This window comes from Homo sapiens, chromosome 9 (genome assembly GCF_000001405.40).
Source record: "Homo sapiens chromosome 9, GRCh38.p14 Primary Assembly".
Taxonomy (NCBI): Eukaryota; Metazoa; Chordata; class Mammalia; order Primates; family Hominidae; genus Homo; species Homo sapiens.
In genome coordinates this window covers 111,615,164-111,631,307 of record NC_000009.12, presented here as the reverse complement: position 1 = coordinate 111,631,307, position 16,144 = coordinate 111,615,164, and the positions used below count along the sequence as shown (strand labels likewise).

The window sequence follows — 16,144 nt, the reverse complement described above, 5'->3', positions numbered from 1 at the left end:
CGCCTCCGCGCAGGCGCACAGGGCGCGGCTACAGCAACTACTTCCTTCGCAACCCGTTGGTAGGGAGAAGGACGCCTCAGCCACTAGGCTGCTTCCGGTGTGTCACTGAACACCTTCCCCGTACCAGCAGCTGGAGGATTTGTTTGGTAGCACCTGGGGGATGGCTCTGTCCCGGGCGCACTTAGGCGGGCTGTGCGGAGCGCTTTACCTTCCACAGTGTCCGGCACACGCATCCTTTTCGACATCATCACTTGACCTGCTGCAATAGGTAACCTACCTGGCTCTCTCGCATCCCGTTATCAGCGTCAAGAAGATTTGCACGTAGGCCTTTAAAGCCAGCCACCAGCCCCGGGCGCCTTCCTCTCACTAACCCCATGCTGCCTTTCCAAACGGAAGATGAACTTAGCAATTCTAGGCGCTGCCTGTGTACTAGGTAGGGACCCTGAAAGTTCATAGCCATCTAGTTCAGTTTTTCTCAGCCTCCACGCTATTGACATTTTAGACCAGATAATTCTTTGCCTTTGAGGGGCTGCCCTTTGCATTGTAAGATGTTTAGCAGCATATCTGGCCTCTCCACACTAAATGCCAGTAGTGCCACCACCCCCAGTCATGACAATAAAAAATCTCTGTACGCGGGTCTGTGCGTCCACCTTGGGCTGCGCGTTCCCGGGACAACCTGCTGGAAGGATCAAGCGATCCTTCCAAAATGCTAGGATTACAGGCGTGAGCCACCGTGCCCGGCCTACATTTGAATTTCAGATAATAATTTTTTAGTATAAGTATGTCCAAAATATTGCATGGGACTATATGGCAACATGAAAAACTTTGCCTCAAAAAATCTGTTTCTATCATTCATCTGGTAAATGTTTATTGAGTCTCTACTCTGAGCCGGGCACTGTTACTTAGGCACTGGGGATACAGTGGTGAGCAAAGTAAACAAGAAGCTCAACTTCAGAGAGCATATATTCTGATGGAGGATGACAGTCAGTAACAAATAAATAAACGTTCAGATATAATCAACTCTTTTAATAAAGTGAAATCAAATACTGATACATAGCATTATATACTTATAATACATAATGAATATACATTATAATTTTGTATTTCTCATTGAATAAATATATATCTCTCATTACATATATCTCCCTCATTACATATATAATATATATAATCTCATTACACATATATGTCTCTGTCATTACATATATAACATATATGTGTCTATTTTTCACCTCAGCCCACTAAATATTGCATGGGACTATATAGCAACATATACAGTTATATATGTAATGAGAGAGATACATGTATATGTAATGAGATACAAAAGTTATATATATAATAACAATTTTGTGTATCATATATGCTTATTTACATTTGTATCTCATATATGTTTATATATGCTTATATATGGCTTATATATATGCTTATATATATATATAATGAGAAAGATAAAATGAATGGAAACACATGGGAGGGTCTCCTGAAATTATTAGGATCGGGATCAATTACAAGCATCAATTCCAGTAGGAGCTGACAGCTAAACTGACTTTGGAGGACGAATAGAGAATGGCTTGAAGGATGTGAATTAGAGAGGAGTTTGGGGACAAGGGAGTGTGAAATAAGTACCAAGAAGAGAAACGAGCCATGGGCAAGAAAAAAATAATAATAAAGCTTTTCAAAAAATGAAAGACAACCTATATGACTAGGAGTAGAGGTAAGGAGTGTAGGAGATGAAACTGGAGAAAGCCAAGTTGCAAAGGGTCATTTTATCCCATGTCAAAGAAGTTGTTCCTTATCTTAAGAGCAATGGAAAGGCCAATATGGGGTCTTTGAGCAAAAAGTGACACCTTCGGATTGACATTTCAGAACCATTACTCTGCCTGGGAAAATGAGTTGGGATGTATCAGGAAGACCATTAGGAGACAGTTATGAGTCCAAGTAGCCTGTAATCCCAGCACTTTGGGAGGCCGAAGTGGGTGGATCATCTGAGGTCAGGAGTTCAAGACCAGCCTAGCCAACATGGTGAAACCCCATCTCTACTAAAAACACAAAAATTAGCCAGGCATGGTGGCAGGCACCTGTAATCCCAGCTACTCAGGAGGCTGAGCCTGGGAGAATTGCTTGAACCCAGGAGGCAGAGGTTGCAGTGAGCCGAGATCACACCATTGCACTCCAGCCTGGGCGACAGAGCAAGACTCTGTCTCAAAGGAAAAAAAAAAAAAAAAGTCCAAGTAACAGATGCTACAGGTCTATTTCTAGGTAGTGGCTCTGGGAAAGGAAAAGAAATAGAAAAAAGTTAAAATATATTTATGCAGCAAAATGGACAGTATTTAGTCGTTGGCTCTGGAAGAGTGAAGGAGATGAGTGAGTCATGATAATGCCCAGGTTCCCAGTTTGGGCAACCAGGTACCACTCTGGAAACAGGGAACACAGAAGTAAAGTAGACTTATGGAGTAGAATGGGGCATTTGCTTGAAACATGTTGTGTTGTAGATGCCAACCATCTCCACATTGGATCATGTCGTTTCCAAATTTGAAACCTTTGAGGATTCTCATTGACCCTTGCCTCCCGTGAGGCCTTTCAGATATGCAGCTTACCCAGTCCATTTCCTCCATGCAAGCTCCTCTTATAGATGCTCACTGCTACTTGTTCAGGGCTCTTCTTCCCAAATTGAAGAAGTTCCCACGCTGCCTTCAGATAGAGGAAATTTCCCATATTGCAAATTTGGCGATGTAACTTTTACTCAACTTTCCCCTCAGATTAGATTAGAGTTCAAACCCCTGAGTGCTATGGTTTGAATGGATGTGCCTGCTGGGATTACAGGCATGAGCCACCGCGCCCGGCTTCTACAATAAATTTTAAAATTTACTGGGTGCACTGGCTTGCACCTGTAGTCCCAACTGCTTGGGAGGCCGAGGTGGGAGGATTGCTTAATCCTGGGAGTTTGAAGCTGCAGAGATATGATTAGGCCACTGCACTCCAGCTTGGGTGACAAAGTGAGACCTGGTCTCAAAACAACTCCCAGCACTTTGGGAGGCCGAGGCAGGCAGATCACTTGAGGTCAGGAGTTCGAGACCAGCCTGGCCAACATGGTGAAACCCCATCTCCACTAAAAATACAAAAATTAGCTGGGCGTGGTGGTGGGCGCCTGTAATCCCAGCTATCCGAAAGGCTGAGGTGGGAGAATCACTTGAACCCGAGAGGTGGAGGTTGCAGTGAGCTAAGTTTGCACCAGGGAACTCCAGCCTCCGCGACAGAGCAAAACACTGTCTCAAACAACAACAACGAGTTCTATTTCAGCCATAGAAAAGAAAAAAAATAAATGTGTTCGGAGGGTAGATCTCATGTTAAGTGTTGTGACCACAATAAAATAAAATGAAGAAGATCGAATGAGGCTAGCTGAAGCTCACTTCAAAGCAGAGAGAACTTTGGTCCCCTGATATGGCAGTTATTAATTTATTGCCTCTGAGCTTTGAACCCATCCTTCCTTGCCCCAGGGAACGATGCAAAGTCCATTCCCCTTTGCCAGCTGGCTGGATGTTAAACTCTGCCAGTAGAGGGTACTTGAAGGACACTACAAACGTGGAAAAAGAAAGGGATATTTTCTTCTCAAAGCAAACAGATCGATGTGCAGGTTTCCCTGTTCAGCACCAGTTTATTTGCTGCCACATTGGGGATGGCTCTTGTTGTGGGTTGAATTATGTCCCCCCAAAAATATATGTTCAAGTCCTAAATCCTGGTGCCTGTGAATATGACCTTATTTGGAAATAGGGTCTTTGTAAATGTAAATTAGTGAAGTCACTCTGGCTTAGGGTGGACCCTAATCCAATGACGGTGTCTTTTTTTTTTTTTTTTTTAGACAAGTCTTGCTGTGTTGCCCAGGCCGGAGTGCAGTGGTGCAATCTCTGCTCAGTGCAACCTCTGCCTCCTGGGTTCAAGTGATCATTCTGCCTCAGGCTCCTGACTAATTGGGATTACAGGCATGCACCACCACACCAGCTAATGTTTGTATTTTCAGTGGAGACGGGGTTTTACCATGTTGGCCAGGCTGGTCTCAAACTCCTGACCTCAGGTGATTCGCCTGCCTCGGCCTCCCAAAGTGCTGGGTTTACAGGCGTGAGCCACCGCCCGGCCTCATGTCATCAAAAGAAGAGAAAACAGAGGCACAAGAGAAGATGACCACAGAAGACAGAGGCAGAGGCTGGGGTTATGCTACCACAAACCGGAGAATGCCAAGGATTGCTGGCAACCACCAGGAGCCTGGGGAGAGGCGTGGAACCCCTCCTCCCTCAGAGGCCCCAGAAGGATCCAACCCTGCTAATACCTTGATTTTAGACTTCCCACCCCCAGAACTGTGAGAAAATAAATTTCTAGCTGCTTTAAGCCATCTAGTGTGTGGTACTTTGTTTGTTACAACAGCCCTAGGACACTAATGCAGCTTGAGTCAGTTACTTTGTCACCAGGTTGGTGGCAGCTGTTAGCTCTCAACAGAGGCCAGTTTCTTCCCCACGAAAGCAGGCAGCATGCTCCTAGGGCAACCATACTCTCCCCTCAGAGCAAAAGAAGTAGTAAATGCATGCTTGACAGGTACTGGATATCCTTTAAAATGTATATTTTAAAATGGTTAAAACAGTATATTCTATGTTATGTGTATTTTATCACAATTTTTAAAAATCTCAGATCAGGGAAGAGCTTTCTCTGAGTTCTAAGTTCCATATTTGTTTACTTTTCCCTCCACTTTAGGAGTAATTAGCTGCTCTCTGCATTCTTTATTTATTTAATTTTTTTGAGATGATGTTTTGCTTTTGTCACCCAGGCTGGAGTGCAATGGCACGATCTTGGCTCACTGCAACCTCCGCCTCCCGGTTCAAGCGATTCTCCTGCCTCAGCCTGCCGAGTTACTGGGATTACAGGCGCCTGCCACCATGCCTGGCTAATTTTTGTATTTTTAGTAGAGACAGGGTTTCACCATATTGGCCAGGCTGGTCTCAAACTCCTGACCTCAGGTGATCCGCCCGTCTAGGCCTCCCAAAAGTACTAGGATTACAGGTGTGAGCCACTGCACCTGGCCTCATTATTTATTTTTTAAAAAATTTTATATCGTGAATTAATATAACATCACATTTACCATTTTAACTATTTTAAAGCATACAATTCAGTAGCATTAAGTACATTCACAGTGTTGTACAATCACCACCACTGTCTAGTTCCAGAAATTTTCATCACTCCAAATAGAAATCCTGTATCTACTAAGCATGCAGTTACTGCATCTTTTGCTCCATACTCCTTTAAGGTTCTCTTTTCTCCCTTTTAGTAGCTAACCATGGCCAGCACCATAAAGGAGCATGCCCAGCCTGAAGGAAGATAAGGCAGACTACAGGGGAGCCAGGAAGAATCACAAAAGGCCTCATCCAGGCCAAGATCAGATGTCAGACTAATCATGGAAGGACACATCCTTTATAGAATCATCCTACTCAAAAAAATGAACACCATGCTTGAAAAGTGCTGCCTGAACCAGATCTCACTTCATCTCTCTCACCATAGGAAACCCTATGAACCAGAATCTGAAATAAAATATTGACATAGTCATCATATGGACAGGAAATTGGAAAATTTGGATGAAATGCAAAAGTTCCTAAAAAATATAAAATATCAAAATTCATGCTTGTATTAATATTAAAGAAACTTAAAAGCCATTCAGGACTGTCTCTCCTGAAAAAACAAAACAAAACAAGACAAGTTGCTATAGAAAATAGAAGATTTTCAAAATCAACCCATTCATTTTATTATTGGCTATTGTCATATTGATTCCAAAATCAGATAAGGGCAATACAAGAAAATAACAGCTATTTGAATCCAACAACAATGTCTTTAAAAAGTCCTACATCTTGATCCAGTAAAAGTCTTTGCAGGAATGTAAAGATGTTTTACAATCAGAAAATTTATCAATGGATTCATAATTAATAAATTTAAAGAAAAAACCACATGCTCCCACAGGTGATACAGAAAAAATGTTTTATAATGTTTAATGACTATGATTTTTAAAATTACAAAGTAGGAATGCTGGACATTTTTCTTACCTTGAAAAGTTTATATATAAAAAATCTACAGCAAAGTTAGACTTATAGCAAACTATACTTTAAGATCAGGAAAAAGACAAGCCATTGGAATACCCTTGTTGCTGTTTAATATGATACTGGAGGTTCTTGTCTGCATTATGAGGAAAAGAAAAAAGTGTAAGCATTATAAAGGCAGAGATAAAACTGCTGATATTTACAAATAATATGAGCATCTAGAAAAACTAACAGAATCAACAATCAAGCTATTAGAATTAGAGTTTAGCAAGATTAACACACAAATTCAACCCAGAAAAGTTAATAGCATTGATCTCTATTGGCAATAACCAACTATAAAATGGAATATATTTTGTCCACTACTATGTATTCAGCATCTGGTATATAGTAGGTGCTTAATAAACATTTGTTGAATGTCTAAGTGAATGTGGCTTATGATGAACTTGCTGTTCATGGTTCTTCCTGGACTACTTACTACATGAATCTCCACCTTTGCAGTCTGAGGGAAGTCAGGGTTTAGTCTGGATGTACCTCTAACTGCAGCTGCAGGGCTATATCATTTATAATGTTCTCCCCACAATATCTTCCCACAGAGCAAAACTATCTTCTTTCTGGCTTTCTTTCCCAAGGCTGAATAGAAGAATCAGGAGGCTTATCATTCATTAGTTCATTTCATACTACAACCCAGGCAAACGCTGAGGTTTGAGGGTTCTTTACTATCTCTGGTCCAATTGCTTAGATGGACATGTTCAATCAGTCAGAACAATCTTCTGGGGAGGTTGTTTTGACCAGTATAATTATTTGAGTAATAACATCTTAAGCCAAAAAAAAAAAAAAAAAACCCCTATTACCTGAAATCTAGCTTTTGATTATATTTCTTTAGCCCAAAGGTCAAGATTAGATGATCACAGATGGATTTCGAGATATAGCCTCTACATTCCATTCCTTAATTATCTATCCGCACCTTGAATTTCTTTTTAAAAAAATTTTTTGGGCCAGGCGCTCGGAATCCCAACACTTTGGAAGGCCAAGCTGGGTGGATTGCTTGAGCCCGGGAGTTTGAGACCAGCCTAGGAAACATGGCAAAACTCTGTCTCTACAAAAAATACAAAAATTAGCCGGGTATAATGGAGTGCACCTGCAGTCCTAGCTACTCAGAAGGCTGAGGTGGGAGGATCGCTTGAGCCCGGGAGGTTGAGGCTTCAGTGAGCCGTGATTGCACCACTGCACTCCAGCCTGGGTAACAGAGTGAGACCCTGTCTCAAAAAAAAAAAAAAATTATTTTTGTGGAGACAGGATCTTGCTATGTTGCCCCAGCTGGTCTCAAACTCCTGGCCTCAAGCAATCCTCCCACCCCAGCATCCCAAAGTGCTGGGATTACAGGTGTGAGCCACTACACCCAGCCATTGAATTTCTTCATATAAGGTATGTAAAAGGAGAACTAAGAAGCACAGCAAACAGTAGTGTCTTCACAGATAACTTTTAGCTAAATTACTTCAGTGAATCAGTGGACTTGTGGGTTTGCAACAGGTTATGATTAGCAACTTGATCACAACTATATTTAAGATTCTTGTAATTGGGATTGGTCTGTACAGCATTCTAAGTTTTGATAAACAGCTTTGGAAATTTATATGGAAGACAATTAACATTTTCTTGTATCAACATGGACTTGTGACTTCCATAAACTTAATTTTCATTGTTTCCTTTGATGATAACTTGTCAAAGACAGAGTACCCATACTTATTCCAAAATAGAAGTCTTGATGAATAGGCACATTTGCAAATTGTAGGGAATTCACGCACATCACAGGAAGTCTCAAAATTAAAATCCTTCTGATACGGTTTGGCTGTGTCCCCAGCCAAATCTCATCTTGAATTGTAGTTCCCATAATCCCCACGTGTCATGGGAGAGACCCAGTGGGAGGGACCTGGTGGGAGGTAATTGAATCATGGGGGCTGTTAGCCCCATGCTGTTCTAATGATAGTGAGTGAGTTCTCACAAGATCTGATGGTTTTACAATGGGCTTTTTCCCCTTTGTTCGGCACTTCTTTCTCCTGTCGCCATGTGAAGAGGGATGTGTTCCCTTCCCCTTCAGCCATGATTGTAAGTTTCCTGTGGCCTCCCCAGCCATGTGGAACTGTGAGTCAATTAAACCTCTTTCCTTTATAAATTACCCAGTCTCGGGTATGTCCTTATAGCAGCATGAGAACAGATGAATACACCTTCCTTTCAAAGTGGAGAAAGAAATGCTTCAATGCATATGTACTTAATGCATATACATTTAAAAAATAATATTACAGTTTAAAAAGCTAATTCAAAACCAGCATTGCCTTTGAACTTCCTTTGATGACATTTACAAATCTGTCCTTCTCACTGCAAGTGGACTACCAGTGTCGCAACCCACTAGTGTGAGTCACGGTTCATGGCATTGGAATGCCACCAATTTCATTGCCAACTCCATCTCTAATTTTGTCAGGCTTGTATGACTATAGTTTCTCTTCTGCCTTCTTGGTGTATGTCTATATTTTTGTTGTTGTTGAGAGTTAATATCTGAGCCAGGTGTGGTGGCACATGCTTGTAATCCCAGCACTTTGGGAGGGCCAAGGCGGGTGGATGGCTTGAGCCTGTCCGGGAGTTCGAGACCAGCCTGGGCAACATGGCAAAACCCTGCCTCTACAAAAAATTTAAAAATAAAATTAATTAATTACTTAAGGCAATTAATATCTGTTTCTTCCTTACCTCTCCTAAAATCTGTCCACTTGAAGAATGGCAGGGAGTCAGAGGATGGGTGGATTCTGCCTGTATTCACTCCCTTTTTTTGTTTTCCACATCCACTGCCCTTTACTGTTCAGCCCACTCAGTCACTTTTGTGGAGAAACTCATTTTACAATTCTCCCATTCCTCTGGCATTCTTATTTGGGGCAAGCAGAAAACTCACATGGCTCACACAAACCACTCATAGTGGGTTTAATACTGGACCTGCTAGGTCATCAGGGATACAAAGCAGCCGTTTACTTGCTGACCATCAGAGAGCCACAGAAAAATGCTGAGGAGAGATTTTGGAGAGGATTCACCCTGGATCTGTATCTCCCCAACTGGTTCCAGTGCACCCATCAGAGACCATACCGGTTCCAAAACTGTCCACCAGAGGATGCTACCCACTTCTGCACAGCCTGTTGGAGATGTCTAAAAGCTAAATTCCCCAGTTTATAATGGTTTAAATTTTCCCTAGCTATCCTCAGAATTCATGAATGAAGCACCTTTTTAAAACCAAGAACCCAAGAAAGGAAAATAAATCTGTATGATTGGTTGCATAGACAAATGGGGAAAACTAAAAAAAGCTCCAATACCTGTTCCTCTGGCATACTTCCTATAAGGATGGATGTGAAAGGGATTTTTTTTTTTTTTTGAGACAGGATCTCCCTTTATTGTCCAGGCTGAAGTGCAGAGGCAGGATCATGGCTTACTGCAGCCTCAACCTCCCAGGCTCAAGCAACTCTCCCACTTCAGCCTCCTGAGTAGCTGGAACTACGGGCTCATGTCATCATCTCTGGCTAATTTTTGTATGTTTTTTGTAGAACTAGGGTCTCATTATCTTGCCCAGGCTGGTCTCAAACCCCTGGGCTCACGTGATCCTCAAAGGGGACTTTTGAGCAAGCTAAACCTACTTTTTAAAACCTGGCAGTTGGTTCTGTCAGGGAGGAAAAACATTTGCAGATGAAGATCTCCAGTGTACACCTATTCACTTTTTGTCTAAATAATCTGTGAAGTTGGGTAAACAGGCATTTCAGAAATATTCTCTATGATAAAGTTTTATATAGGAAGCTCAAGGAGATATCCATCTGCTAATTAGCATAATCCCCAGGCAGGTCTGCCTGGCTCAGAGTTCCAGCTTCGCACCACTGTGTCCCACTGAAACAAAATGAAGCACAAACTAGAAGAATAAAGATGTGAGATGTGAATACTCAACAAAATTGTTGATGCAGAGAAGGCTTTTTAAATTAAGAAATGAGCTGGGCGTGGTGGCTCACACCTGTAATCCCAGCACTTTGGAAGGCTGAGGCAGGCAGATTGCCTGAGCTCAGGAATTTGACACCATCCTGGGCAATACAGCGAAACCCTGTCTTTGCCAAAAATACAAAAAATTAGCCAGGTGTGGTGGTGAGCGCCTGTAGTCCCAGCTACTCGGGAGGCTGAGGCAGGAGAATCACTTGAACCTGGGAGGTGGAGCTTGCAGTGAGCCAAGATCGCGCCACTGCACTCCAGCCTGGGCAACAGAGCAAGACTCCGTCTCAAAAAAAATAAAAAAAAAAAAGATGGAAATTTTTCATGAAGTTGTTTACATGAAATTTAAGGGTATGCATTAAAACTCATAATATTCAAGAAAAAATGACAAATTTGGGAATAGATATAGTAAATTTGACAAAGAATTAGTATATTTTACATAAATATTTATATACTTTATTTTAAAAATTAAAAGGTATAATTAAAATCATTTTAGGCCAGGTGCAGTGAGTCACGCCTATAATCCCAGCACTTTGGGAGGCCGAAGTGGGCGGATCACTTGAGGTCAGGAGTTCCAGACCAGCCTGGCCAACATGGTGAAACCCCATCTCTACTAAAAATACAAAAATTAGCTGGGCATGGTGGCAGGCACCTGTAATCCCAGCTAGTAGGGAGGTTGAGGCAGGAGAATCACTTGAACCCGGGAGGCAGAGGTTGCAGTAAGCCGAGATCACGCCACTGCGCTCCAACCTGGGTGACAGAGCAAGACTCTTTACAACAAAACAAAACAAAACAAAGTCATTTTAAATAGTAATGATCTTGAATGGACATTCTCAGAAAAGGAAATCAAACCAGTCAGGATAAATGGAAAGACTTAATTTGATGAGTAATCACAGGAATGCAAACATTAACCACAAATTATCATTTTCCTGACAAAATTAGCAATGATTCTAAAACTTGCAATAGCCAATTTTAGCAAGACCGATCGAAGAGGACAGCTGACACTTTTCTCAGGGCTGCATAAATTCCTAATTGAGACAACTTTTTGTAAAGCAATTTGGTGACTGTAATACATAGACTAGAAGAGCCCAGGTATTGTTTCAACTCCCAGAAAGTATTTATACCCTTTGACTCAATACTTTTCTGTCTTAAGGAAAGAATTCAAAATATGGAAAAGGATGTATGCACAAAGATGTTTATTCTGGCACTATATATGTGTTACCAGGCCACACCAATCTAGAGTTGCAAATGAGGTCAACATAATAACAATAAAAGCATTCTTCTATGGCTGGGCGCAGTGGCTCACGCCTGTAATCCCAGCACTTTGGGAGGCCGAGGCAGGTGGATCACCTGAGGTCAGAAGTTCGAGACCAGCCTGGCCAACATGGTGAAACCCTGTCTCTACTAAAAATACAAAAATTAGCCAGGTGTGGTGGCTCATGCCTGTAATCCCAGCTACTTGGGAGGCTGAGGCTGGAGAATCGTTTGAACCTGGGAGGCAGAGGTTGCAGTGAGCCAATATCGCGCCACTGTACTCCAGCCCAGACGACTGAGCGAGACTCCGTCTCAAAAAAAAAAAAAAAAAAAAAAAAAAAAAAGCATGCTTCTAACTGTCCCAGTCTGCTCCATGAGGCCTGCAGCTGCCAGTAAAGCTTTGTGTTGTATCACTAGGTTGTCTTGGGTACCCAGCATCTGCTCCTCTATACTCTGGTATGTTTTCTGTGGCTGCATTAACCAAGAAACTTAGTGATGCCACCCATACCCCTATTAGGATCACTGTTGCTGCTACTACAAGTACTGATGCTACTGCATACATGGCCAGCACTCAATGGTGGATCACTTGAGCCTAGAAATTCAAGACCAGCCTGAGCAACATGACGAAAACCCATCTCTACAAAAAATACAAAAAAATTAGCTGGGTGTGGTGGCACGTACCTGTAACCTCAGCTACTCGGAGGCTGAGGTGGGAGGATCACTTGAGCCAGGAGGTTGAGGTTGCAGTGAGCCAAAGTCACCCCATTGCACTCCAGCCAGGGCAACAGAGCAAGACTCTATCTCAAAACAACAACTCTGTGTGTGTGTGTGTGTGTGTGTGTGCGCACGCGTGCGCAATCATCTCTGACCATGGCTTCTCAGGTTTTGTATAATTTAGTTCACCAGTATATAAACTGTACAAGGTCTCTTGCCAGACAGGAAAAGGTATCTAATTATGAACCTAGACTTTCCTATTTGAAGGCTATGCAAATAAAATAAAATCGTGTTGATGGCTTAATCTTTTTTTTTTTTTTTTGAGACACAGTCTCGCTCTGTTGCCAGACTGGAGTGCAGTGGCACGATCTCAGCTCACTGCAACCTCCACCTCCTGGGTTCAAGCGATTCTCCTGCCTCAGCCTCCCAAGTAGCTGGGACTACAGGTGCATGCCACCATGCCCAGCTAATTTTTGTATTTTTAGTAGAAACGGGGTTTCACCATGTTGGCCAGGATAGTCTCGATCTCTTGACCTCGTGATTCGCCCACCTCAGCCTCCCAAAGTGCTGGGATTACAGGTATGAGCCACCGCCCCCGGCTGCCTTCATCATTTTAAACACAATGCTGAAGTCTTGATTTTCTACAGAATAGAAAGAGAAAGGTTAGTCTTCCTGAAACATGTGAATAGAACATTCCAGAACATAGTCTGTTGAATGTACAAGATTAACTAAGTTTTCAAGGTATTTTGTACTGAAAAAGAAGACATACTGATAACAATTCTATATCTAACTTTCCCATTTGCTCTTCTCTTGGCACAAAGGTATTGTTTCTATTTTTTTTCTTACCTTTTGCTTTCTAAATGGAAAATCCATCTGATTCAATCCTCTTGAATCAATACAAACGCCTCTTTCTCTCTGAAACTCTACAAAAAAAAAAACAAAAAAAAAACTAAAGTTGAAAACATCCCCTCTCCCTCTCCCTCTCCCTCTCCCTCCCCCTCCCCCTCCCTCTCCTCTCCCTCTCCCCACGGTCTCCCTCTGATGCCGAGCCAAAGCTGGACTGTGCTGCCACCATCTCTGCTCACTGCAACCTCCCTGCCTGATTCTCCTGCCTCAGCCTGCCGAGTGCCTGCGATTGCAGGCGCGCGCCTCCACGCCTGACTGGTTTTCGTATTTTTTTGGTGGAGACGGGGTTTCGCTGTGTTGGCCGGGCTGGTCTCCAGCTCCTAACCGCGCTGGTCTCCAGCTCCTAACCGCGAGTGATCCGCCAGCCTCAGCCCCCCGAGGTGCCGGGATTGCAGACAGAGTCTCGTTCACTCAGTGCTCAATGTTGCCCAGGCTGGAGTGCAGTGGCATGATCTCGGCTCCCTACAACCTCCACCTCCCAGCCGCCTGCCTTGGCCTCCCAAAGTGCCGAGATTGCAGCCTCTGCCCGGCCGCCACCCCGTCTGGGAAGTGAGGAGCGTCTCTGCCTGGCCGCCCATCGTCTGGGATGCGAGGAGCCCCTCTGCCCGGCTGCCCAGTCTGGGAAGTGAGGAGCGCCTCTTCCCGGCCGCCATCCTATCTAGGAAGTGAGGAGCGTCTCTGCCCGGCCGCCCATCGTCTGAGATGTGGGGAGCGCCTCTGCCCGGCCTCGACCCCGTCTGGGATGTGAGAAGCCCCTCCGCCCGGCAGCCGCCCCGTCTGAGAAGTGAGGAGCCCCTCCGCCCGGCTGCCACCCCGTCTGGGAAGCCAGGAGCGTCTCCGCCCGGCAGCCACCCCGCCCGGGAGGGAGGTGGGGGGTCAGCCCCCACCTGGCCAGCTGACCCGTCCGGGAGGTGGGGGGCGCCTCTGCCCGGCTGCCCCTTCTGGGAAGTGAGGAGCCCCTCTGCCCGGCCACCACCCTGTCTGGGAGGTGTACCCAACAGCTCATTGAGAACGGGCCATGATGACGATGGCGGTTTTGCGGAATAGAAAAGGGGGAAAGGTGGGGAAAAGATAGAGAAATCAGATTGTTGCTGTGTCTGTGTAGAAAGAAGTAGACATGGGAGACTTCACTTTGTTCTGTACTAAGAAAAATTCTTCTGCCTTGGGATGCTGTTGATCTATGACCTTACCCCCAACCATGTGCTCTCTGAAACATGTGCTGTGTCCACTCAGGGTTAAATGGATTAAGGGCGGTGCAAGATGTGCTTTGTTAAACAGATGCTTGAAGGCAGCATGCTCGTTAAGAGTCATCACCACTCCCTAGTCTCAAGTACCCAGAGACACAAACACTGCGGAAGGCCGCAGGGTCCTCTGCCTAGGAAAACCAGAGACCTTTGTTCACTTGTTTATCTGCTGACCTTCCCTCCACTATTGTCCTATGACCCTGCCAAATCCCCCTCTCCGAGAAACACCCAAGAATGATCAATAAAATAAATAAATAAATAAATAAATAAATAAAAAGAAAAACATCATCCAAAGAGCACAAGAGAATTGTAACTCACATTGTGCAATTTTACCATTGTCCTCATATTCAGGATCAAGGATACAGATTGATGGAGAAAAGGTAGTGTCTCACTGGATTAATTCATTGTTGGATGGGAAAGGTGGGAAGCTCAGCTCATGCTTCCACAGCAGATTCTACCCTGACAAAATCTTACTCCAAAATTGGCATTTAAGCACACAAGTGTTATAGCTTCTGGCACTCATTTCATACAGTCTCACCCCAAACACTGCATAATCTGACTCTCATTCTCCTTGACTTTCTATTCCGGAACATCACCTGGCACATTTAACCTGTAGTTCAGGTTCTTCTACCCCCGAGATAGCTCTGCAAAAATCCTAGTTTTAGTATCCGGCTATTTGCAGCCCAGGCTGCATTGCTCTGTTCAATTTGTCCTAGGTCCTCAGCTTCTTTCTTTTTTTAGGTACTCTTTTTTTTTCTTTTAGAATTCTAGGTTGGAGGATGCAGGAGTATAAACTATCTTCCATGTATTCTCTTGCTCCAGTGTTTTCTGAAAGCAATTTTCCTTAGGGAGGTGCCTGGTAAATTCAAAATAGTTACTGTTAGCTTTCTGCCAGAAATATTCATCTTCGAACCTTCTTTTGGTCCACAGCTCTGGTTCTGTGACTACGTATGTCTCTACCACATTCCTCTACTGTGGGAGGAAATTCCTGGGCCCAAACCTCTGTCAGCTTGCATTACTTCCATTCCTTGGCATGATTCTACTAGCAGGTTAGATGTCACAGTGGATATCATAGCTAGGTTGTGCCAGGTTTACAGCCCACCCTCAGTGCCCACCTCCCTGTGTGTCTATGTACATCAGCTGTCCTCCTGAGATGAGAACGACCCACAAGGAAGTGTTAATCTGCAGCTGTGCTTCAGGGACAAATGGTCAAAGAACCAATTACCTCCTCATTTGCAATTGGCTATATTCTTTTTCTTTTGCCCTGCCTTGAATATATTTCTTGAATATAGACCAGTTAGAAGAGCTGCCAAGCTTTAACATATTTAATCCTAACTTCTGTGCATACACCATACAACATTAGAAATTCTGGTGGAAAATTTCCAGGACGAAATTTCTCTTAATGACTTCACTATTGCTAGAGGTTTTACTGATGTACAGAAGAGTTAACATAGCAAGCCTGATTGCGATGTTGGCCTTGGGCTGGTGTCTGGGAACTTGGATTTGAAGCGTGTCCCCACCATTCCCTAACTGACAAGGGTGGCCCATTCTGCCTAGACTATACAAACAGTGTGGTTTATGCTGAACACCTGCCTTCCTTTGGGGGGTCTGGAATTTTGGTACACGCTAGGCAGAGGGTGCCTTATGTGACTAGACCCTAGTAAAACTTTGGATGTTGAGACTCTAATGGGTTTCCCTCTAATAAGCAGAAACATTGAATGCTTACTGCTGGGGAAATATATTTTCATTGCTGAAGGAAGAGTGCACTGTGCAATTCCTCGTGGAGGGAGGGGGCAGTAGGATGCCTGCCCATGGATTTCCCCAGGCTCCACCTGAGTCTTTCTCCCTCCTCATTACATTGCCGTAATAAACCTTAGCCATGAATACAACTATAGTCTGGGTCCCGTGAGCCCTTCCAGTGACTCTCCAAACATAAGGTATCCTTGG

The 16,144-nt window shown here is 43.8% G+C and overlaps 1 long non-coding RNA gene across 1 annotated transcript, besides 2 other annotated features; it reads left to right on the top strand.

Moving 5' to 3' along the window:
* Window positions 21–110: an enhancer, noted in NCBI's record as "active region_28794". NCBI's record gives its function as "activates an Ori minimal core promoter by ATAC-STARR-seq in GM12878 lymphoblastoid cells {active_cell/tissue: GM12878}" and the evidence as "EXISTENCE:reporter gene assay evidence [ECO:0000049][PMID:35858748]".
* LOC107987116 (uncharacterized) lies at window positions 105–4,387 on the top strand. Its single transcript, XR_001746897.2, has 2 exons — window positions 105–268; window positions 3,860–4,387. It is a non-coding gene; the product is annotated as an uncharacterized LOC107987116 (long non-coding RNA).
* Window positions 13,804–14,537: an enhancer, noted in NCBI's record as "NANOG-H3K27ac hESC enhancer chr9:114379051-114379784 (GRCh37/hg19 assembly coordinates)". NCBI's record gives its function as "activates a minimal SCP1, AML or CMV promoter by ChIP-STARR-seq in primed H9 embryonic stem cells {active_cell/tissue: H9 hESC(primed)}" and the evidence as "EXISTENCE:reporter gene assay evidence [ECO:0000049][PMID:30033119]".